This window comes from Homo sapiens, chromosome 1 (assembly GCF_000001405.40).
Source record: "Homo sapiens chromosome 1, GRCh38.p14 Primary Assembly".
Classification (NCBI taxonomy): domain Eukaryota; kingdom Metazoa; phylum Chordata; class Mammalia; order Primates; family Hominidae; genus Homo; species Homo sapiens.
In genome coordinates this window covers 182,474,543-182,498,632 of record NC_000001.11, presented here as the reverse complement: position 1 = coordinate 182,498,632, position 24,090 = coordinate 182,474,543, and the positions used below count along the sequence as shown (strand labels likewise).

At 40.5% G+C, this 24,090-nt stretch overlaps 1 protein-coding gene across 15 annotated transcripts in view, besides 2 other annotated features; it reads right to left on the bottom strand.

Annotated features, from left to right (window-relative positions):
• The window catches only part of RGSL1 (regulator of G protein signaling like 1), a 112,721-nt gene that overhangs the window by 61,965 nt on the left and 26,666 nt on the right, over positions 1 to 24,090 (bottom strand). For 14 of the 15 annotated variants that reach the window (XM_017001193.3, XM_017001191.1, XM_017001192.3 and 11 more), the window contains 3 exons: positions 10,286 to 10,348; positions 9,431 to 9,653; positions 5,504 to 5,611 (listed from right to left, as the gene is read on the bottom strand). In XM_017001193.3, coding sequence (XP_016856682.1) covers positions 5,504 to 5,611; positions 9,431 to 9,653; positions 10,286 to 10,348 — 394 coding nt within the window. Of the gene's footprint in view, positions 1 to 5,503; positions 5,612 to 9,430; positions 9,654 to 10,089; positions 10,173 to 10,285; positions 10,349 to 24,090 lie in introns of those variants that run through there. The other variant, XM_047419642.1, reaches the window with a different exon arrangement.
• Positions 14,030 to 14,089: an enhancer, noted in NCBI's record as "active region_2197". NCBI's record gives its function as "activates an Ori minimal core promoter by ATAC-STARR-seq in GM12878 lymphoblastoid cells {active_cell/tissue: GM12878}" and the evidence as "EXISTENCE:reporter gene assay evidence [ECO:0000049][PMID:35858748]".
• Positions 22,877 to 24,076: an enhancer, noted in NCBI's record as "CDK7 strongly-dependent group 2 enhancer chr1:182443692-182444891 (GRCh37/hg19 assembly coordinates)". NCBI's record gives its function as "activates an origin of replication core promoter dependent on BRD2, BRD4, P300/CBP, MED14 and CDK7 cofactors, with strong dependence on CDK7, by STARR-seq in HCT116 cells {active_cell/tissue: HCT116}" and the evidence as "EXISTENCE:reporter gene assay evidence [ECO:0000049][PMID:35650434]".

Genomic DNA, 24,090 nt, shown 5'->3' with positions numbered 1-24,090 from the left:
CATACAATTACTTGGAAACTAAACAATCTGCTCCTGAATGACTTCTGAGTAAACAATAAAATTGAGGCAGAAATCAAGAAATTCTTTGAAACCCAGGAGAACAAAGATACAACATATCAGAATCTCTGGGACACACACATTCTTTAGCTCGAACCACTAATAAGATCTGATTGCAGTGACACTCCAATAGCAATGAGTTAATCTAGTTTCTTGATTTTGGCTTTTAAGCATCATTCTCTAAGAAAAGGAATGAGGCTCTTCAAATAAACGACTGATTCTAGAGCTAGACAGGGAAAGTAGAAGATGCACCTGGGAGGCATATACAAAAAAGCAAGAGCATGCTCAAGAGACATTCCAAAACGAGACATAAGCCAGCTTGAAATGGGTGCCACTTACCAAACTGGGGAATATTTGAGCACCAAAATAATCACAGTAATGAATTATAACCCATTGAATAAAAAAAAGAGTTCATATAAATTAATGAATTAAGAGTGTAAGAATGAGATATTTACATAATTTTAAAGTACACCCCCCACAATACTTATTAATCATGAAAGGAAAAATAATAAATTTATAACAAAGAATCCTGGCAGGTACCACATTAACCAAATGATCAAAGGGAAGATCGATGCCTATAATCTCAGTGCTCTGGGAGGTCAAGGCAAGATCTCTTGAGGCCAGGAGTTCAAAAACAGCCTGGAGAACATAGTGAGACCCCATTTCTACAAAAAGAGGGGTGGGAACATCATCAGTAATGGAACAAAGCAAAATCGTGCACCACTTGCTGCAGTGAAAAGAACTGCAATGATATTTCTGAATAACCTGAATGCATAACCTGAACCTAATCATGAGAAAACATCAAACAAAAATGAAGGGACCTCTGTAAAAATAGACTTGGAATCTTCAAAAGTGTCAAGGATATAAAAGTCAAAGAAAATCTGAGTAAGATGACATTCAATAAATATTGAATTTGGTCTGAAAATTAAGTGGTAGTAATGTATCAGTGTTAATTTCCTGATTCTGATCATTGTATTGTGGCTTTGTGGGAGAATGTCCTTGTTTGTTGAAAGTATACACTGAATTATTTGAGGATGGTGGGGCATTAGGTTGACAGCTACTGTCAAGTGGTTCAATAAAGGATTTTTTTCCTGTACTTTTTTTTCTATAAGTTAGTTGTTATTTTCAAGAGAAAATAGCAATTTTTATTTTCAGATATATAATATATCTGTCTCCTGAAAAAAATATATATCTCCTGACAGATATATATATATTTTTATATCAGGAGATATAAAAATATATATATATAATATATATATCTCCTGAAAAAGATACACAGACACACACACACATGCACACACACACACATACACACAGTCTATTATCTATCTATCTATCTATCTATCTTTCTATCTCTTTTTCATTCCTATCATAAAGAAGGACAAGAAGCAGTTCACATTGATGTAGGATGGACAGCATATATATTTACTGTCTTGCCATTATTATATTAACTTTTCTATCCTCTGACATAATGTAATTCAATGGGCCCCAAATCATCTACTCTGCAGAATATTACATTAGTCCACATTATCAATAGTATCATATACATTGTATCACATGTATCATATACATTGGGCAAGATAAACAATAAAGGCTAAGCATTTTGGGGGCCTTAGTAAGACACATATGCTCCAGAGGTGAATAAATCCTACCAAGACTGAAGGGTCCACTATATCAGTAAAGAAAGGTTCTAGAATCCAGTGTGATCTGGTGCATATTTGGACATCCTCTCCAAAATAAAGGACATAGATTGCATCTTGCATCTTTCACTACTAAGAAGGAAGCATAAAATCTGGTAGACTTCTTTATGTTTTAGAAACAGCATTATTTCACACTTGAAAATACTTTTCTGAAATATAAGGCTGCCAGATGTTAGGGGGACCCAGAGTGGGAAAGTATTTTTGCTGCAAGTTAAGGCTCTGGTATAAATAGCCCTAACACTTAGGCCATACAACACAACAGATCTCATGGTTTTAGGAGTATCAGTAGTGGGAAAAGACAATGGAGTTTATGACAGACCTGAAAAGGATAATCTTGAAATAGATCCGTAAATTTCTGGAGTAAGGCCATGTTATCTGCAGCAAAAAACTACACTGTTCACAAAATACTTCAATGTGCTATTGAGCTATGGTAAAGTAAGAGAGCCTGTCCATGTGATATCAAGTGAGCATACAGACAGACCTACCCATCCGATATGGTTTGGATCTGTGTCTCTGCCCAAATCTCATGCTGAAATGTAATCTCCAATGTTGGAGGTGGGGCCTGGTGGGAGGTTATTAGCTCATGGGGTGGTTTCTTATGAATGGATTATCACCATCCCCTTGGTACTGTCCTCACCATCATGAGTGAGTTCTCATGATATCTTATTGGTTAAGTGTGTAGCACCTCCCCGTTTCTTCCTTTGGCTCCAACCACGAGAAGTTCTGGCTCCCCCTTCACCTTCTGTCATGACTGTAAATTTTCTGAGGCCTCCCCAGAAGCCAAGCAGATGCCAGCATTATGCTTCCTGTATAGCCTGTGGAACCATGAGCCAAATTAAATATCTTTTCTTTATAAATTACCCAACCTCAGGTATTTCTTTATAGCAGTGTGATAATAGATTACTATACTGTCATAAACTGGGTTACTCAAGATCACCCAGTCATAGGTGGCTCAACAGTAATTCATCATAAAATGTAAATGGTACATGTGGAATCAGGCATGAGGCAGGTCAGAAGGTACAAGAAACTACCTAAGCAGGTGACCCAGACACCCATGTCATTACCACTGTGGCACTGCCACTTCACTGTCATCACATCTATGGCTGGTCACATTGATGACCAGCTGACAGAAGAGGAAAAAAGCTGAACCTGTTTCATGAATGGACCATCTCAATATCTTGGTGAAAATAAACAGCTGAAGCCCTCTATCAGTGGTGATCCTGAAAGATGATGGGGAGAGAAAAATCCCCTGCAACGCCATAAGCAGAACTTTGGCGGCGAACCTGTGCATTCGTTTGTGTGGAAAGAGAAGTAGCCCAGGATAAGAATATATACATACTCATGGGCAGTGATGAATGGTTTGGCTGGTAAGCCAGGGGCTTAGAAGGAGAAAGATTAGAATACTGGGGACAAAATGGTCTGAGAATATACACATGTGGATGGATCTATGAGAAAAAACATGACATGTGGAGATCTTTGTATTGCATCTTAAAGCCCTCCAAAAAACAACTACCATGAAAGAGGCACTAAACAACCAAGCAGACAGAATGACACTCTGCCAGTTGATGCCAGCAAGTCTCTGTCATAAGCCACTGTAGTGCTGGCACAGTGAGCTCATGGACAGAGTTCTAGGTGGCAGGGATGGAGGCTATGTACAGACCAACAGCATGTGCCCCATGTTTGAGTGCCAAACACTCAAGTTGCTGGCAACAGAAACAAATGCAGAGCCCCCAGTACCCAGTATAGTAACATCCCTAATAAAAGCCAGCCACTTAGTGACAAACTGATTACACTGAACACCTTCTATTCTGGAAAGAGCAGCAATTCATTTTGACTGGAACTGATATGTATCTTAGCTGCAAGGTCTCAGACAGCATCACCACCTCGGGGCTTATAAGTGATTGATCCCTCAATGGGATCTCACATAACATTGCCTCTGACCAAGGGATACACTTTATAGCAAAGAAGGTGTGGCAATGGCCAATGGGTCCCACGAAGATGAGATCTACTAGTTCTATTTCCTTTGAGAGCTGCTGGCTTGATGAAGTGATGGAGCCACTTTTTGAAGGCACAGCTGTGAAAGCAGCTTGAAGCTACCAGAATGCTAGGGGAGAATGACGATACCTCAGGAAAATGAGGCATCATCTTCCAGGATAATTCAAAGACCATTATAAGGTGTGTCTTCAGTAGTAGAATAAATGGGCCCAGGTACCAATGAATGAAAGAAGTGTTCCATTTACCATCAGTATCAGAGACTTACTTAGGGAAATTTGTCATCTTTATACCTTTAGGTTCTGTAGGTCTAGACCAGTGCTGTCCAATAAAAATATAATGTGAGCCACGTATATAATTTAAAATTTTCTAGTAGTCACATTGAAAAAGCTAAAAAGAAAAGGGTGAAATTAATTTTAACAATGTGTTTTATTTACCCACATGTACCAGTCACATTTCAAGTGCTCAGTGGCCACATGGGGCTAGTGGCTCCTGTAATGGACAGTGCCAGTCTAGAGATCTTAGTTCCTGGAGGCAGAATGCTTCTACTAGAGGAAATAGTAGCTGTTCAATCGCATTAAGCTCCTTATGCCAAGAAGTCAGCAGGCAAGCAAAGGAGTCACTGTACTGATAGGGTAATTGATCCTAATCATTAAGATCATGTTACATAGCAGATACTGGACAATTCACTTGCCACTCTTGGTATTCCCTGGCCCAATTTGTATGATAGGTTGACAAGTGAAGCAGCCACAGCCTGAGAAGTCGTGATGACCGGGGGCTCAGGTATCCCAGAGATGAGAGTCTAGTAAGACCCCAAGACCAGCAGAGGTGCTAGCTGAGCATGAGAGGAATCTAGGATGGGGAGCAGGAGAGGAAGAAGAGGAATATTAGCAATGGTCTTCAGATAAGGTAGAGTAATGTGAGCCTGCCTTTCTCAAATACGTTTCCCAGGACAAGAAACTATCAGATTCCTGGAGGAGCTACTCCAAGATGAGGTGAAATTTCTATACAAAGCAAATGGACAGTAGTGGGTGGTACTGGGTACTACCCAGAACCTCCCTTCAGGGCCAAAGCACTCATTCCCCTAGATGCCTGAGTGTTGGCTGCTGATGGCCCAGAGAGGAGGCCCCTTCTGGAAGTTGCTTCAGCCAAAGGAAACTGCCTGGCTATAAACCCTAGGTTATATCCTTCACAGGGGCATTCACATCTCCCGTGGATCAATGTGGAAGAACTAAAGCCCAAATTAAATTTCTTACCTCACTGAGGGACAACTCTGAAGGGCCACCCTGGCATCAGAGTTTCTTATGGCATCTGCTGAGGCCTGTTGTGATTGCTTCACAGTTCAGCATCTACCTCTCCCCAATCCTGCCTTCCTCACTCTCTTAGAGGTATTATTCCCAAGAGCACTCCTTAACAAACATCCCTTCACAAATCTCAGCCTCCAGGTAACTTGACAGAAGAAGAATTCACATTAATTAAAACCCCAGAGTGATAACTAGATAAGAAAGTAGAAATGAACAATCTTAACCATCATCACTTCATTCATTTATGATTACATCTTATTTTCATGATGCTCTTCTGTGGTTTCGTAGGAGAAAAAAGACATAGTCATTACCCCCTAACCACCTCTCCATTTCCAACAGAGCATGGTTCCTCTTTTGGCTTATGTTCCTTAAAGAACACAAGATTACAGATTTTCTCTTAGATTTGAAAAAACCTAGTTGCCTCGTCTATCCCTGATTTTAAACACTTGCCTATTTTAGGTGCTTTCTCACAGTATATTTTGTAGTCATCACTGATCTTCTGTATGGCCATCTTTGGGTTCTTGTAGCAAAGCTCCTCAAAGGACATTTTAGTTATGTCTGTGAAGTAAGGAAAAACAGAGATAGAGTTTAGTTGTCCAAAGTCTGGGTTCAAAGATTCATATACTTTTGTTGAAGGTATTGCCTTTAAAATGCTGGGCGCAGTGGCTCACGTTTGTAATCCCAGCACTTTGGGAGGCTGAGATGGGTGGATCACAAAGTCAGGAGATTGAGACCATCCTGACTAACATGGTGAAACCCTGTCTCTACTAAAAATACAAAAAAATTAGCCGGGTATGGTGGCGGGCGCCTGTGGTCCCAGCTACTTGGGAGGCTGAGGCAGGAGAATGGTGTGAACCTGGGAGGCGGAGCTTGTAGTGAGCCGAGATTGGGCCACTGCACTCCATCCAGCCTGGGCCACAGAGGGAGAATCCATCTCAAAAAAAAAAAAAAGGTTATTTAAAGAGGCCAATAGTGTTTTAATGGGATGTTTACAGAAATAATACAAGTTCCCTAAGCTAAATTATAGGCAAGGAAATAAGCCTCCTCTTCCCTCCAGAATGAGAAGATCCTCTCCTTCTTAGGGAAAACTGACCCATGGAGATTATTTGCCTGAGGGTTGCTAGGGTAACCAAGATATGACTTGAAAGAGCTACTATTTTTTAATTCATATATGAGAAGTAACTCATACAAATGAATGGTGACTCCTTCAAAGCATCCATCTGTTGAGGGATTGAGTAGCAAATGTATGTGTTCTTTTGCAGAGACGGGTTTTTGCCATGTTGCCCAGGCTGGTCTTGAACTCCTAGATTCTAGCGATACTCCCGCCTTGGCCTCCCGAAGTGCGGGCATGAGACCACAACTACAAATGCATTTCAAACATTCTACTATTGCTTCAAAAAAAATTGAAGCCCCTAAGAATAACAAATGGCAAAGAACATGCTATGCTATGTTTTCCCTTTCTCAGCTCTGACTTTGGGAATTACTTTCAGAATTAACTTACCTATCTGAATATTATCAATAGTTGCAAATCATTGTCCTTTGGAGTGGATTTTTTTTCTAGAAAGAGCCATATATCATCTTAAGTTATGCATGATGAATTGAGAGGGAATACCTTTTTGTATCCAAAATGTGGTGAGACAATGAGGCTGAGATAGCAAGAGATGTTTTAACAATGATCTGGTTAACAGAAGCAGAATAGTAGCACCTTACTTCCTACGGAGGAGAAGTATTCATTTGGGTTGTGAGTTCTGGGATTTAGAGTATATCTAAATGCACAGAGTTCTCCTGGAACTCTCTAGGCAGTTCAGTACTTTCTGAAGCTATACTATTTGAGTCTATAAAGAGTACTGGGGTGTGGACCTGTGAATGTGAGTCATCATCATCATCATCATCACCATGATGTGTAATCAAGGAGAATCTTGACCAAAAGTGTTAAGAGCAGTGGGTTATTTCTGCAGTGGGTCCAGGTTTCTAGTCCTGTATCAATTCCTTCCTTGCTGAGCAACCTTGGGCAAGTCTTTTCACCATTCTGGAAGTCATGTTTCCCTGTATAAAAGATGATAGTGGTCGGGTGTGGTGGCTCACACCTGTAATCCCAGCACTTTGGGAGGCTGAGACAGGCGGATCACTTGAGGTCAGGAGCTCGAGACCAGCCTGGCCAACATAGTGAAACCCTGTCTCTAATAAAATACAAAAATTAGCAGGGCATGGTGGCGGGTGCCTGTAATCCCAGCTACTCTGGAGGCTGAGGCAGGAGAATTGCATGAACCTGGGAGGTGGAGGTTGCAGTGAGTCAAGACAGTGCCACTGCACTCCAGCCTGGGAGACAAAGCGAGACTCCATCTCAAATAATAATAATAATAATTACAGTTTTTTAAAAGTACCATACGTAGGCTAGGCATGGTCACTCACACCTTTAATCCCAGCATTTTGGGAAGCCAAGACAGGAGGATGGCTTCAGCCCAGGAGTTCAAGCCTAGCCTGGGCAACATGGCAAGACCCATCTCTACAAAAAAAAAAAATTAGCTGGGTGTGGTGGTGCATGCCTGTAGTCCCACCAACTTAGGAGGCTGAGGTGGGAGCTTCGCTTGAGTCTGGGAAGTCATGGCTGCAGTGAGCTGTGATTGTTCCACCACACTCCATCTCAAAAAAAAAAAAAAAAAAGATAATGTTCTAGCTCTGGTACTCTGTGAGTTTAGGGTACAGCTTGAGACACCAACCTACCTGAGATTCAAGGCTCTGATTTGGCCAAATGCAAAGAAGGCCCTTTATTAGGCCAGACTTGTGCTCCAAAAAAGCAGTGATAGAGGAAGTAATGATATGTGCTTTGGAGAGGGACAAGGAGCTTCCATGGAGGGTGGTTCACATTCTTACTGGCTATCCCTTGTGTCCCATAGCCACCAAAGTAACGCCTATTGCCCAACATATGTGTGGTGAAACTTACCAGCCATCTTTTCATCTACTTTGGTCTTGATTCCTGGGAAAGAATCTAAGATCCTCAGGATTTAGAGAGAGAGTGGAATCTCTATGGTTAAAAAAGAGGGCCTGTTCATGCTAGATTTAAATAACTTATGCCCAAACATGGCTCTGACAGACAGGCATCCAGGGCATCTTGGTTTGTATACAGAGTGCATATTAAAGTTTTAAAAAAGAGCCGGATGTTACATTCTTTTGGTAATCTAACAAGTACCATTTACTTAGCACCTGCTTACTATGTAAATACATTACCTCTAATCCTGAACAAATTAGGGGCCATTATCTCCACTAAATAGATGAAGAAATTAGGTTCAGAGAGAAGGAGTAACTTGCCCAAGCTCACAGTGCATATGAATGGTATAACTGAATTTTCAAAGCTTTTGCTCACTCTTTATCCATGTTTTTCAAAGTGTAGGTCATGACTCACTAGTATGCCAAAAAATAAATGGTGACATTGTTAGCTTTTATATGACATGAAACATAATAGAATAAAGAATGCTGGAGTACAGCATCTTATGTAATAAGGGCAAGTATTGCTTTGGAAATTTTTTTTCATATATATGTGCACACATATACACAGGTATATATTTAAGGAATTATGAAGTCAAACGTATTTATTGTGGATCAAAGTTTGAGAAATATGCAGTATTCCAACTGCCTCAACATAGATAATTAAAGCACTATGCTCAATTTGAATAATAATGACTAACATTTACAGTATTGAACTCTTAAGTGATTGTCAAACATTGTACTAATAGCTTTCATAGATGATCTCAGGTCACCTGCACAAGTTTGTTATTATTCCCATTTTACAGATGAGAAAACTGGGGCTCAAAGAGAAGTTAAATACATTGCTCAAGCATACAAGTGAATAGGAGAGCACGGGTGTAACCCCAGACTTCTGGGACAGCAAAGCCTTTTGCTCCTAACGATGTCTCTCCACTGCCTGGGTGGGCTGGTGTGTTATGTTAGGGAAGCGGGTGACTGTAAAATATGTTCACAGAAATGCGCTTGGACCCTATTCTGGAGGAAATGTGGTGAGGTGGAACATGCTTATTAGATGCATGAAATGAAGTATTCAGCATCAACTATGGTGATGCTTTGGTGGGCCAGAGTCTAGCTACACTTGAGCACTCTGGCTCCCTCAGATCCAGCAGGGAGCTCTACAGTCAGTCTGTCTGGATTCAAATCCTGACTGCAACTTACTCTGACCCTGGGGAGGTCACATCCTCTCTGTGCCTCAGTTACTTAGTACTTACCTCTTAGGCTGTTTTGATGACCAAATTAGGTAATCCCTGCACTGCATAGTGCTGACGCTTAGTAAATAATTAGTAAATGTTAAATATTATTTTCCAGTTGCCCATATGTAAAGGTCAAAAAAATTACAGTGACTGCTCTGACCTGTTAGAAACACTGGAGATGTCAGCTCTACCTGGAGAGAGCCTCCTTGCTTCAGGTCCTCAGTAGCTATCTTTCGCCACTGCCTATAGTCCATTTCCTTCATGTCAGCCAAAGCCTGGCTTAACTCTAGAGACTGCTGAATCCTCTTATAAAGAAGAATGTTCTCTTCTTTGCCTATAAATTCTCTTTTATGCTGTCTGGAGCTGATGAACCTGTTCTGTGTCTAAGAGAAGAGGGTGAGGGGAAGATGGCATTTGTTACAGGAACTAGACCAGAAGCAATAATTTTGTAATAACTCAGTGCTCCATGCCTCCCTGTTACATGGTCTTATGCAGGTTGTTTTCAGTTGTTAAGAACCATTGCTCCTTTACATGCCAACCCCCACCCTTTTCTAATCAAACTCATTTTCTATAAGGAAGAAATTTTCTGTGGTTGTGACTTTTTCAAAGTCATCTTTTTTTTTTTTTTTTTTTTTTTGAGACGGAGTCTCGCTCTGTCGCCCAGGCTGGAGTGCAGTGGCGGGATCTCGGCTCACTGCAAGCTCCGCCTCCCGGGTTCACACCATTCTCCTGCCTCAGCCTCCCAAGTAGCTGGGACTACAGGCGCCCGCCACTACGCCCGGCTAATTTTTTGTATTTTTAGTAGAGACGGGGTTTCACCAAAGTCATCTTATGCACTGAGTCCTTTTCCTTGAGAGGTTTAGCTTTAGAACAACAGGGACCATGCTGATCTTTGGTTGACTCTAGGAAAAATAACAATTTCATTTACTTTAACACATAACCCTTTTAAAACAGTAATTACTCTTTCTTCTTCCCTCATCCTCATGATTCCTTCCTAACCCAAAGTCCTTCCTACCGTAAAAAGGAGAAACCAGTAGTCCTCTTCATCTAGAAACTCATCATACCAGGGACTGAGCATCTGAAAACCAAACACAGCATATGCATTATGAGGTGGATGGTCAGCTTGCTGCATCTTTCCTGCATATGTTCACCTGGGAGCAGAGTAGGCTGAAGATTCTGGGTTCTGTAATTTGGAGATCTAATGGAACAGCAAACATTAGCTATGACCAACCAGGAGGCATTCTTTTATCTCTGAATAGAGCAGCTAACACAGCCTCTCTCTAAGTCTCAGAGGAGAGCACTAAATATTTACTTAAGAAGAGAGATGACAAATAATTTACAGAACCATTACTTAACATCTGCATATTATTTCATTCTGTTCCAAAGTAATATCTCATTTTTTCTCAAAATGGCCCTGAAAACCAAGCATCTTTCTTTGGTGTGTCTACTCATATCTCCCACTTGAAGACCTTACCCTTTTGTGAATAACATTTTATTACATTAAAACAAACAAACACACAACAATAAAACCTATGAGTTAGTGCTTAGCTAGATATATTAACCCATACTCTCAGTTTCATTCATTCATTCATTTGACAAATGCTTTATGAATGCCTCCTATGTGTCAGGCACTTTACAAAGTGCTGGGAATATAGAGATCAACATGCTGCAAGTGTCGCTATAAGGAGCTCAGCTTCCAGCGTGAACAGCAGCATAACACATGCTCTAACAGAGGTATTAACAAAGCTTCTGATTCAGTCAGGGAAATCCAGGAAGAATTCATAAAGGTAAGGAGGTTTAATCTAACTGTGCACCTTGCAGGATAAGTAGGAGCTCACCACAGGGAAGTTGAGTAAAGATCATGCCATGCAGTAGAAAGAGCTTAAGCAAAGGCATCGGGATAGGAAAGAACATGTTTGGGAATCATGAGTACTTCAGTGTGGGCTGAAATGTGGCATTCATGTGAAGAGCCCAGGGATGGGGAAGTGGCAAGAGAGGAAGCAGGGATGCATTGGAATTATATATGAGGGACTTGAATGCCTTGCTGAGTAATCTGGGGATTATTTTGTAGGCAATGAATTGTTGATAGTAATTTTTAAGAATGTAAGATTATCTCCGCCAGCTGCCTCAATCATGCAGCGAAAAGGTGAGTTTAGGGATATAAATTTTAGTAGCTTTAACAAATCTCCTTGGCTCCTGGGAAACTTGAGTGAAGTGTATTCCTGAGACAATTCAGTTCAGTGATTGAATCCGAGCAATATGTAATGTAATATAATGTTACTCATTAATAAATAAACTGTAAATATATATTAAATATGAATAATAAAAAAGCATGTGTGAAATGAGCACCCTATTAACATCCCTTTTGGTTTAAAAGGTTTATGACTAGGCCGGGCATGGTGGCTCACACCTGTAATCCTAGCACTTTGGAAGGCCAAGGCAGGCGGATCACCTGAGGTTGGGAGTTCAAGACCAGCCTGACCAACATGGAGAAACCCCGTCTCTACTAAAGATACAAAATTAGCTTGTCATGGTGGCACATGCCTGTAATCCCAGCTACTTGGGAGGCTGAGGCAGGAGAATTGCTTGAACCCAGGAGGCGGAGGTTGCAGTGAGCTAAGATCACACCATTGCACTCCAGCCTGGGCGACAAGAATGAAACGCCGTCTCAAAAAATAAATAAATAAGTAAAAAAGATTTATGACTCAGGCTGGGTACAGTGGCTCATGCCTCACACCTGTAATCCTAGCAGTTTTGGAGACTGACGTGGGCAGATCACTTGAGACAAGGAGTTTGAGACCAGCCTGGGCAACATGGTGAAACCCCAGCTCTACCAAAAAATAAAAAATAAAAAAATAACTGGGCATGGTGGCGTGCACCTATGGGAGGCGCATGCCACCCACAGGGAGTACCACAAATTAGCTACTGGGGAGTTCAGGTGGAAGAATCACCTGAACCTGGAAGATGGAGGTTGCAGTGAACCAAGATCGTGCTACTGCATTTCAGCCTGGGCAACAGAGGGAGACTTTTTCTCAAAAAAAAAAAAAAAAAATTATGACTCTACCTAATAATTAATAGATAAATAAATTTATTTCTTAAGAAACAATGCTTAATAGAGCATTTTCAATTAAAAGAAATAACTAGATATACATTAAAATAATAGTCATGAATAATAAATATGATAAAACAGCATCTAAAAACCCTATAATAGTTTTAATAGTTTTTCGTTAGAATGTATTAGGATTTTCTTTAGAATTGAGCTTGTCCATCACTTGACAAACCCTCCCGGCCCCTTCTCAGAGCAGTGTGTGATGCAATAGATGAAGGTTCTGCAAACATTTTCTATGAAGTGCCAGATGGTAAATATTTTATGATATATGGGCTATATAGTCCATTGCAAGTACTCAACTATGTAGTTGTAGGACATGGTAGTATGTAAACAAACGGGCACAGTTTTGTTGCAATAAAACTTTATTTATGGACACTAAAATTTGAATTTCATGTATTATCCATGTGCCCTAATATGTTCTTCTTTTGATTTTTTTCCCTACTATAAAGAAATGTTAAACCATCCCTAGCTTGCTGGCCATGCAAATACATGTGGGAAGCCGAATTTGGCTCCCAGACTGTAGTTTGCTAACCTTGCAATAGACTGAGCAGGAATCTGGACACTGGCTCTGCACTTGTCAGTAAATAGCAGTGAGACCTGAGAATTTGGCCCATCAGCTGTACAATGAGAGAAGGGATGACAGAATCTCTAATGACCTATTCTAAGGTTATATGTGTCTGATAAAAGATCAGAAGAGGATGAACATGTATTTACCTACTCACTACCAGGCGCTGCATATAGAGTGTCTTTGAGGCAGCCATTATGATCCCCAATGTACTGATGAGAAAACCAAGGATCAAGATGAGTGATGTCAGCAAGATGGCTGACTAGAAGCCCCCAGCACTTGCCCCTGCCTCCATAAACACAGCTGAAACAATACATGAATAACTACATTCTAATAAAAGTTAAAATAACAAAAGGAAAGTGTACATTGAAGGAGTAACAGAAACCCTGATGAACACAGAAACTCAGGATAGCCACAGAGAGAATGAAAGGAAACATTGGGCCTCCACCACCCACTCCCCGAGCCTGGATCAGCTGGGGACCGGGAGGAACTTCTTCCTATTGTGAAAAGCTAGGCTAGAAGATCTCAGCAGCCCTCATTAACACATTAGACACCTACAGTCCTCACCACTGGGGTCCCCTGCAGTCCTCACAGGCACTAAGCCCAGCTGAGGGAGCTGCCTAATGGCCACACAGCTATGCTCCCACCAGAGAAGGAGTTGACACTGTGCCCTGCCTCCTGTGGCCTGCAAGACTACCGTGCTATACCATCTTGGAAATGGTATTACTGCTGGAATGTGTCTTGCTCCAGGGGCAAGCAGCCACAGCTTCCCTTCATCCCTGAGGGTAAACTGCTGCCAAACCACCCCCACCTGATGGCCTGACATCCCCAAGCCAAGTTGCAGGCAGCTGTCACACTCTTCCCCTTGGGGCCAACCACAAGTGGAACTGCTCTGCCCACTTCTGCCTAACCCCTTCAGGCTGAACATTAAGCTCTACACTCCCTCCTGGGGAAATGGCACTTTGGTAGAATTGCTTCATCTACCACACTCAGCTGCAGCTGCACCTGCACCCTGCCCCTAGGGGCCTGAACTGAAATGGCACACTGCCTCCTGAGGAAACAGTGCCTTGTTGGAGCTGCCCCATATTTCTCTCCTAGTCACTGCTGAGCCCCGAACCTGTGAACTGAAGCCAAAGCTTCACACGCCTTCCTGGGAAATTGATGCATTGGTGGAACTGCTCCATCTATCCCTCCAGTTGCTGCTGTACCCTGGCCCCTGGGAAAACAGAACCTTGGCTGTCCAGAGCAGTCACATATTCTCATGCTTGATTTAAAGCAGTGTCCTGCCTCCCAGAAGAGCGGTCACATACACCAATACCTAAGCTGAGTGGCATCTTACATCCCAGGGAAATAGTGCCTGGGCTACCTGGAATAGTCACACCCCTGGGCCTAAGCTGAAGTGACACTGAGCAGCTGTGCATTCCAGGACTAAGATGACATAGTACCCCAGGTCCCAGGGAAACAGAACAGTGGCTGAGCTGAGGCACCCCACACTACAGGCCAAAAGAATTATAGTACCCTGCTTCCCTGTAGCTGAACTAGCCCTCTAGAGTCCTAGCTGCTAAGACATCCCTTTCCCTGTATCCCAAGTATTCTAGCATACTTGGTGCCACTGCGCCTGGCTTCAGAGTCTGGGATACTTCTGAGCCCCACCGTCCCAGGGTCTAGAGTCACCACTACACGGTGCCTCATCCCTAGGGACCTGAGTTGCCACTGAGCCCTATTGGCTCAGGTTCCCAAACCCACTCTGTGGGCCCGAACCTCCAGAGTACCCCTTCTTCCCCAAAGCTGGACCAGAGCTGTGCTCTGTCCCTCAGGGTAGAATTACAGTTACAACCGAACCCCGGGGCTTGAGCTCCTAGGGGATGCTGCAGAGTCACATATCCTGGCTCTGTGGGCAGCCTACATCCAACCATTCCACATAAAGTGAACGTGCACCCCAAGACCCAAGTGCTACTAATCTGTACAATAAACTGCTGTGACACAAATATACCTATATAACAAACCTGCATATGTACCCCTGAACGTAAAATGAAAGTTAAAAAAAGAAAATAAGCAAAATAATAGAAATATATGTCTATAAATATTACATATACACATTATGTCTCATTTGAAATATAATACAAGTATATTTTATGTGTATGTCATAGATGTACATTATATGCACACACGTATTCATATACATTATGAGAATTTTACATTTATTTTATATATACACATATATTAAGTATGTATTTTTAAAATTATTTTTAAGTCCTTTATTAAGGTATGATTGACATACAAAAACCTGTAGAAATTTAATGTATACAACTTGATGTCTCTGAAGATAAGTATACACCCATTAAACTGTCATCACAATCAATACCACAAACCTGTCCTCCAAAAGTTTCCTCCTGTTCCCTTTGGTTTTGTTTGCTTTTTTTTTTCTTTTGTGGTAAAAACACTTAACACAAGACCTATTCTCTCAGTGAATTTTAAGTATACAATATAGAATCGTTAAATGATATTTCATATGTTGTACAGTAAATTTATCTCTCGTGACTGAAACATGGTACACTTTGATCAACACCTCCCTGAAGCTGCTGGCAACTGCCATTCTATTTTCTGCTTCTATGAGTTTATCTGATTTAGATTCAATACATAAGTGAGATTATGCAGTATTTGTCTTTCTGTGTCTCACTTATTTTAATTAGCATGATGTCCTCCAGGTCTCATCTATGTTGTTGCAAATGGCAGGACTTCCTTCCTTTTAAAGACTGAATAATACTGCATCATATACACCACATTTTCTTTATCCATTCACCTTTTGATGCACATTTCAGTTGTTTTCATATCTTGGCTATTGTGAATAATTCTGCAATGAACATAATAGTGCAGATATCTCTTCAAGATCCAGATTTTAATTCCTTTGAATATATCCCCAGAAGTGGGATTGCTGGATCAAAAGGTGATTCTACTTTTCATTTTTTGAGAAACCTGCATACTGTTTTCCATACTGGTCACACCAATTTACACTCCCACAAACAGGAATGTAAATTTGGGCATCCAGTGTGAAAAATAGTATGCAGGTTTAGTGTCAGTGTATAGAATCACAACTGTTTTTGAATATTGATTTTATCCTGCAACTTTACTGAATTCGCTAATTAGTTTTAACTGTTTTTGTGGTAATTTTAGGGTTATCTACATATAAGATCATGTCATCTGCAAACAGAGGCATGATAGTTTTACTTTTTCTATATAGTTTCACTTCTTCCTTTTCTATTTGGATGCTTTTTTTTATTTTTTATTTTTCTTGTCTACTTTCTCTGGCTAGGACTTCCAGTATTTTGTTGATGAGGAGGGGCAAGAATGAGGATCCTTAGCTTGTTCTGGATGTTAGAGGGAATGATTTCAGCTTCTCGCCATTGAGTATGATGTTGCAGCAAGCTTTTCATAAATGGCCTTTATTGTGTGGGAGTACCTTCCTTCTATATGTAATTTTTGAGAGTTTTTGTCATGAAAATATTTTGAACTTTGTCAAGTAATTTTTCTGCATCTGTTGAGCTGATCATGTGATTTTTACCTCTAATTCTGTTAATGAGTTGCATCACAGTGATTGATTTGCATAGGTCAAGCCATCCTTATAACCCAGGGATAAATCCTACCTGGTAATTGTGTATAATTCTTTTAATAGGCTGTTGTATTTGGTTTGCTAGTATTTTTTTCTTTTCTTTTTAAAGACAGTATCTTGCCTGTCACCAGGCTGGCATGCAGTGTCACGAACATGGCTCACTGCAGCTTCAAATTCTTCCAGAAATCCTCCCTTCTCAGCATCCCAAGTAGCTAGGACCACAGGCACACGCCACCATGCCAAGATAATATTTTTATCTTTTATAAACACAGAGTTTTGTCATGTTGCCTAGGCTGGTCTTGAACTCCTGGGCTCAAGCAATCCCACTTCAGCCTCGCAAAGTGCTGGGGTTACAGGCATGAACCACTGCACCTGGCCATGCTCGTATTTTCTTGTGAATATTTGCATCTGTTTTCCTCAGGGATATTGACCCGTGGTTTACTTTTCTTCTTGTGTCTTTGTCTGGCTTTGGTGTCAGAGTTCTAGCCTCATAAATTACTTTGAAAGTGTTCTCTCTCCTTATACTTTTGGGAAGAGTTTAAGAAGGATTGGTATTAATTATTAAAATATTTGATGGAATTCACCAGTGACGCCATCTTGTCCCTGGTTTTTCTCTTTTGGGAAGTTTATTATTACTTCTTCAGTCTCTTTTACTGTTATTGGTCTGTTCAGGCTTTCAATTTCTTCTCGACTTAGTCATGGTAAGTTGTATGTTTCTAGAAATTTATTTCTTGTAGGTTGTCCAATTTGTTGGTGTATAATTATTAATAATAGTCTCATTATCCTTTTTATTTCTGTGAGAATAAATTGTAACATCTTTTCTTTCATTTATAATTTTATTTATTTGAAACTTCTCTCTCTTTTTTTTAAGCCTAGCTAAGGATTTGTTGGTTTCATTTATTGCTTAAGAAAACAAACTTAGTTTTATGTTTTTAAAAATTGATTTTCTATTCTCCATTTCATTTATTTCTTCTCTAATCTTCATCCTCTTCTTCCTTCTGATAAGTTTAGGTTTAGTTCTTCTTTTTCTGGTTCTGTGAGGTGTAAAGTTAGGTGGTTTATTTGAGATTTTTCTTTTTTAATGTAGGCATTTATTGCTATAAACATCCATCTTAGTACTGCTTTTGCTGCATCCCATAAGTTTTGGTATGTTATTTTTATTTTCATTTGTCTCAAGTATTTTCAAATGCCCTTTTTGATTTTTTTTGAGCTACTAGTTGTTTAAAAGTGTGTTGTTTAATTCTGTGTATTTATAAATTTTCCCATTTTCTATTCTTGATTTCTAGTTTCACTCCATTGCACTTGATAAAAAAAAATACTTGTGGCCAAGCGTGGTGGCTCACGCCTGTAATCCCAGCACTTTGGGAGGCTGAGGCAGGTGGATCGCCTGAGGTCGGGAGTTTGAGACCAGCTTGGCCAATGTGGTGAAACCCCGTCTCTAAGAAAAATGCAAAAATTAGGTGGGCATGGTGGTGGGCGCCTGTAATTCCAGCTACTCAGGAGGCTAAGGTAGAGGAATTGCTTGAAGTCAGGAGACAGAAGTTGCAGTGAGCCAAGATTGCGCCACTGCACTCCAGCCTGGGTGACAGAGCGTGACTCTGTCAAAAAAAAAAAAAAACTTGTAATGTTATTTCATTTTATTATTTTAGAGACAGGGTTTCATTCTTTCACCCAGGCTGGATTGAAGTAGTATGATCACAGGTCACTGTAACCTTGAACTCCTGGGCTTAAGTGATCCTCCTACCTCAGCCTCCCAAGCAGTTAGGACTACAAACATGTGCCACCACGTCTGGCTATGGAATATTTTTAATCTTAAATTTGTTAAGACCTTTTTGTGACTTAGCACATGATCTATTCTGGAGAATATTCATGTGCACCTGGGATGAATAATTATTCTGTTGCTGTTGAGTAGAAAGTTCTGTATATGACTGTTAGGTCCAGTTGCTTTATGAGGTTGGTCAGTTCTGCTCTTTCTTTGTTCATTTTCTGTCCGTATGATGTATCCATTATGAAGAGTGGGGTATTGAAGTCTTCTATTAAAGCAACACAATAATAATAGAAGATTAAGTTCTTCCTTCAGATCTGTCAATGTTTGCTTTATATATTTAGGTGATGATGTTGGGTGCGTATGTATTTATAATTGTTACAGCTTCCTATTAAATTGACCCTTTTATCATTGTATAATAACTTCCATTGGCTTTTGTGACAGCTTTTGACTTAAATTCTATCTTATCTGATTTAGTATAGCCAAATATGCTTTTTTGGGTTACCACTTGCATAAAATATCTTTCTTCAACCTTTCACTTTCAGCCTATCTGTGTTCTTAAATCTATCATGAGTCTTTTGTATCTTTGGGTCTTGTGTTTTTATACATTCATCTACTCAATGTCTTTTGATTGCAGAGTTAAGACGATTTACATTTAAAGTAATTATCGTTAGGTAAAGACTGTTGCCATTTTGTTAATTGTTTTCTGTTTTGTAGCTCTCTTCTTCCCTCTCTTTCTCTATTGCTGTCCTTCCTTTGTGATTTGATTGTTTTTTGTAGTGATATACTTTATTTTCTTTTTATCTTTTAGGTATCTACTATACATTTTTTGTGGTTACCATGAACCTTGCATTAAACATTTTATAGTCATAAATCTGTTTTAAGCTGATAACAACTTAACTTAAATTGCTTTAAGCTGATAACTTCAATTGCATACAAAATTCTGCACTTTTCTTCCTACTTGCCATAGTTTACATATTTGATGTCAGCTTTTATTTTTTCTATATTGTGTTTTCATTAACTAATTTCGGTGGTTATAATTATTCTTACAACTTTGTCTTAATTTACACACTAGTGTTCAAAGTGATTTATATACCTTTATCACAATATTACAGTATTATGTGTTTGTCCTTATATTTACCTTTAGCAGTGAGATTTATACTTTCACATGCTTTTGTATTGTTATTTAGCATCTTTTCATTTCACCTTATTCTTGAAGTTCCTTTAGCACTTTTTGTAAGGCAGGTCTAGTGGTGACAAACTCATATTTTGTTTGGGAAAGATTTTTTTTAAACACTTCTTCACTCTCAAAGGATAATTTTTCTGGGTAAAGAATTCTCAATTGCCAGTTTTCCTTTTCTTTCCTTCAGCATATTGAATATATCATCCCACTCTCTCCTGGACTACAAGGTTTCTGTTGAGAAATCTGCTGATAGCCTTTTTGAGCCTCCCTTTTATATTACAAGTCACGTTTCCCATTCTTCTTTCAAAATTCTTTGTCTTTGACTTTTAATAATTTATCATATGTCTGAGTATGAAACTCTTTAGGTTCAGCCTATTTGGAGATCTTTGAGTTTCAGAAATCTAGGTATCCATTTCTCTCCCTAGATTTGTGAAGTTTCCAGCCATTATTTCTTTAAATAAGCTTTCTATCCCTTTTTCTCTTGCTTCTCCTTCTGAGACTTCTATGTGTATATTGGTTCACTTGATGGTGTCCCATAAGTCCTTTAGGCTTTCTTTGCTCTTTTTCATTCTTTTTATTTCTGAAATGATCTGTCTTTGAGTTCATTTCTTTCTTCTGCTTAAAACATAAATCTGTTTTAAGCTGATAACAGCTTCAATTACTTTAAGCCTTTGAAGCCTAATCAAGCCTGCTGTTGAAGCTCTTTATTGAATTTTTCAGTTGAGTCATTATATTTGTCAGCTCCAGGATTTCTATTTGGCTCTTTCATTGTTTTTTATTTTTTATTAAACTTCTAATTTTATTGATGCATGTTTTTCTGATTTTGTCCATGTTTATCTGTGTTTTCTTATCACTCATTGAGCTTCTCTAAGATGATTATTTTGGCTGGGCATAGTGGCTCACCCCTGTAATCCCAGCACTTTGGGAGGCCAAGGTGGGAGAATAGCTTAGGGCCAGGAGTTGGAGGCTACAGTGAGCTATGATCATGCCACTCCATTCCAGCCTGGGTGACAGAGTGAGACCCTGTCTCTCAAAAAAAGGATTATTGTGTTAAACAGTTTAGAAATTCTTTATAAAAAGTACAAGAAAAATTTTTTTTCAGATGTTATTTTGAATTATTTGGTCAAGCAGTTTATGGATCTCCATTTCTTTAGGGTCAGATAGTGAAATGTTATTAATTTCCTTTGGTGATATTACATGTACCTGATTTTTCATGACCCTTGTATCCTTGCATTGGTGTGTGTACGCTTGACGGAGGAGTCACCTCTTCTGGTCTTCACAGACTGGTTTTGCCACACACAAAAAGGCCTTTGCAATTAGCCAGTCAGAGATTCTGGGCTGGTTAGCTGGCAATGTTTATAGGCAGGCCTGCTGTTGGCTTCCATGAGTAAGGTCATTATGTCTATGGGTGGGTGAAGCTGGAGCTGCACCTGTGGGCAGATGGAGTTAGAGCCTGGTTCAAAGGCAGTTGGGGCTGTCTCAAGGTCTGCAGGTGGTTTGGGTTATAGCTGAGTCCACAGGTGGTCAGGGATAAAACTGAGGCTGCTAGCAGTCTGGAAAAGCCATTGAATGTGGCTGTCTCTAGGTCCATGGGTGGACAGGGCTGCCTCAGAGTCTGTCATCAGGACTGGGGTCAGCAAGCCTGTTATCAGGGTGTGGTTCCTGCTGGATCTCAGGGCAGACGATATTTCTTCTGTGACTGCAGTTGAGCAATGTGGAGCTGGGTCACAGGGCTGCTTCCGTGTCTAATGAGACCGAAAGGCATTGGGTCGTTAACAGGGTGTTAAGCAGGCATAGTTTCTGCTAAGACCATGGGAGGGTGGGTCTGGTGGCAAAATTATGGACAAATGATGCTGGACTGAGTCCACAGGAGATGAGGCTGATTCTGGATCTGCAGCCAGGATCCTGACTGACAGGCCTGCTACTAGAAGCATGAGACTGCTTTTTCAAAGCAGCTTTCCTTGGTCTTGAACTCCACTGGGGTGGTGCAACCTCCAACTTGGGTCCCAAAGCTCATCAAAAGGCACTTTTTTCTGTGGATAGTTGGCAAGTCCATGTTTCTATGGGTGAACAAAAGCTGGGGACCTCCTATTTCACCATATTGCTGATGTCACTCTGAGTATGTATGTATTTAGTGATATGTGCTACGGACAAAAATAAAATGGGGAGCTGGTTGCAATTTTATATCAAATGGCCAAGGAAGTCCTCACTGAAAAGGTGACTCTTTAATGGAGACCTGAGGGAGTGAGAGACTAAGCCATGCAGTTATCTGTATGTTACAGAGCACAGCCAAGCTGGCAGCGTGCCTGGCACAGTTGATGATGAGCATGGGGTGGGGGTGGAATAGTAGATGAAGCCAGAGAGGAGAGGTGGCATGCAGATCATGTAGGGCCTTGCTAGATTTATTAGGGACTTTGGATTTTACTGAAAGTAAAAATCTTCATTGAGACAGCCATCTGTTTTCAAGGTTCTCACTCATTTCCTTTTATTTATTTTCAGTTAAATTACACTATGTTTTGACAGAATCACTGTGGTTGGCATGTAAATGAGTTGATGAGGGGCAAGGGTAGACACCGAGGCATCAGTTAGAAGACAATAGCAATATTACAGGTGAGAGGACAGGGCTTGGGTGAGAGTGGTTGTAACAACGGTGGAAAGGAGTGGTCACTTCTGGATTTCTTAAGGTAATGCCAACAGGGTTTGCCAATAGACTAGACATGGGTGTAAGACAAAGAGGTGAGTCAAGAATGATATAAAAATGTTTAGTCTGAGTAACTGTGATAGGCTAGTCTTCTCCACGTACAAATATCTTCAGTATATTTGCACCAAGTCCCAGGCAGAAGTATTTGCTGTGAGAATCTGCTGATCCAGAAAGCACAGTCCCAGTCTGAATCTCTGTCGTAAAATGGCTCCACAAAATGCAGAAAGACCACTGTGCTTTAATTAATCAAAAATTGAGCAAAGGAGAACTTTGGTTGTGGATCCACTAGACTGATCTATTCTGAAATTACCTCACTGTACAACCCTGGATAATTATGATATACTGGAAATCATGCCAGACTTAGAGCCGAAAACTCCAGGATTCTGATCCTGGATCATCTACTAGCTAGCTGCATGGCTTTGGGCTAATTCACTTACTCTCTGTGTGACTCAATTCCCTTATCTGTATAAGAGAAGCAACAAGACTATTCTCTCTGTCTCTTGGGAGTGCTAAGAAGCATAAAGGACACAATGTGTGTGAATGTGCTTTACAAGGTAAATACGTTATAATGCACTAAATAATTTGATGTTTTTTATCTATTTGCTCCTCCAGATCTACTTTCTACTCTTCTTCACCCTGTTTGTGCCTTGGAAGATTAACCTGTATGCGCCACATCAATCTGTTCCCTTGTCCTCTGTTTGGGTTTATCAGATGAGGTGTCCTGGCAGGAGATGGGAAATCAGGAGCAGAGTGAGCTTGGGGTATCTATTTCTCCAATCCCTCCAAACTAGATCACTGTGAACTAGTTATATCCCTCAACTGATGATTACAGCTTCTGCCAAGTAAGTGTCCCACTCCATACAGCTCTTTCTCTCCTGGTTCTAGTAATTGCTTCCTGTCCTCAGTTCTTCATACCTAGGAATGACAAAGGTGCCCTGCCCTTACTGACTTTATGGTATGACACTATCCCTGTGGTTGCCCCACTGCACCACCCATTCCTTTGTGAGTAGTCCCTCTTATTTGTCTCTCATCTGTTACCCAACTTAACTTTGCCGTTTGCTTTCTGCTAAGAACTTGATGATACAATAGCTATATGATGGGCATCACTTCCTGTGAGTCTTCAGAGTATTCTCTTGCTTTTATCTAATGTTTTGAGATAAAAATAAACTCATCCTAATTGAACATTTCCTTGATGGCTAGTCTAGTAAAGGGAGACCTTGCTTTTCAATACATAATGTTTATAACAGAAATTTAAAACTCTCCTCATAGAATACTCTGAGGTTCATGGTTTGGGGAGGCTTCACATAACAAGAAAGTGAAGAAGGAATGGACATCAACCACTCCCCACCTCCATTGTACTTTAGAATTTTTGGCTGATTTGGGGGACGTTGCAAAATTTGTGCCTTGAGACAGCGGTCCCCAACCTTTTTGGCACAGGGACCAGTTTTGTGGATGACAGTTTTTTCCATGAACTTGGGGCTGGGGGGATGATTTCAGAATGAAACTGTTCCACCTCAGATAATCAGGCATTCGATTCTCATAAGAAGCATGCAACCCAGATCCTTCATATTCACAGTTCACAGTACTGTTTGCACTCTAATGCTGCCACTGATCTGACAGAAGACAGAGCTCAGGCAGTAATGCTTGCTTACCCGCTGTTCACCTTCTGCTGTGCGGCCCAGTTCCTAACAGGCCATGGACTGATACAGATTTGCGGCCCAGGGGCTGGGGACCCCTGCCTTAACAGATCAACCAACTCTTCAATATGTAAAGGTTTATGTGGGTAATTATATAGTCACTTAGCCAGTATAGGTGACCAGATGGGATTTTTAGTCAGTTTTGACCTAATTTGCCAGATATAACTTATTTCTGTGAGGCATGGCCTAC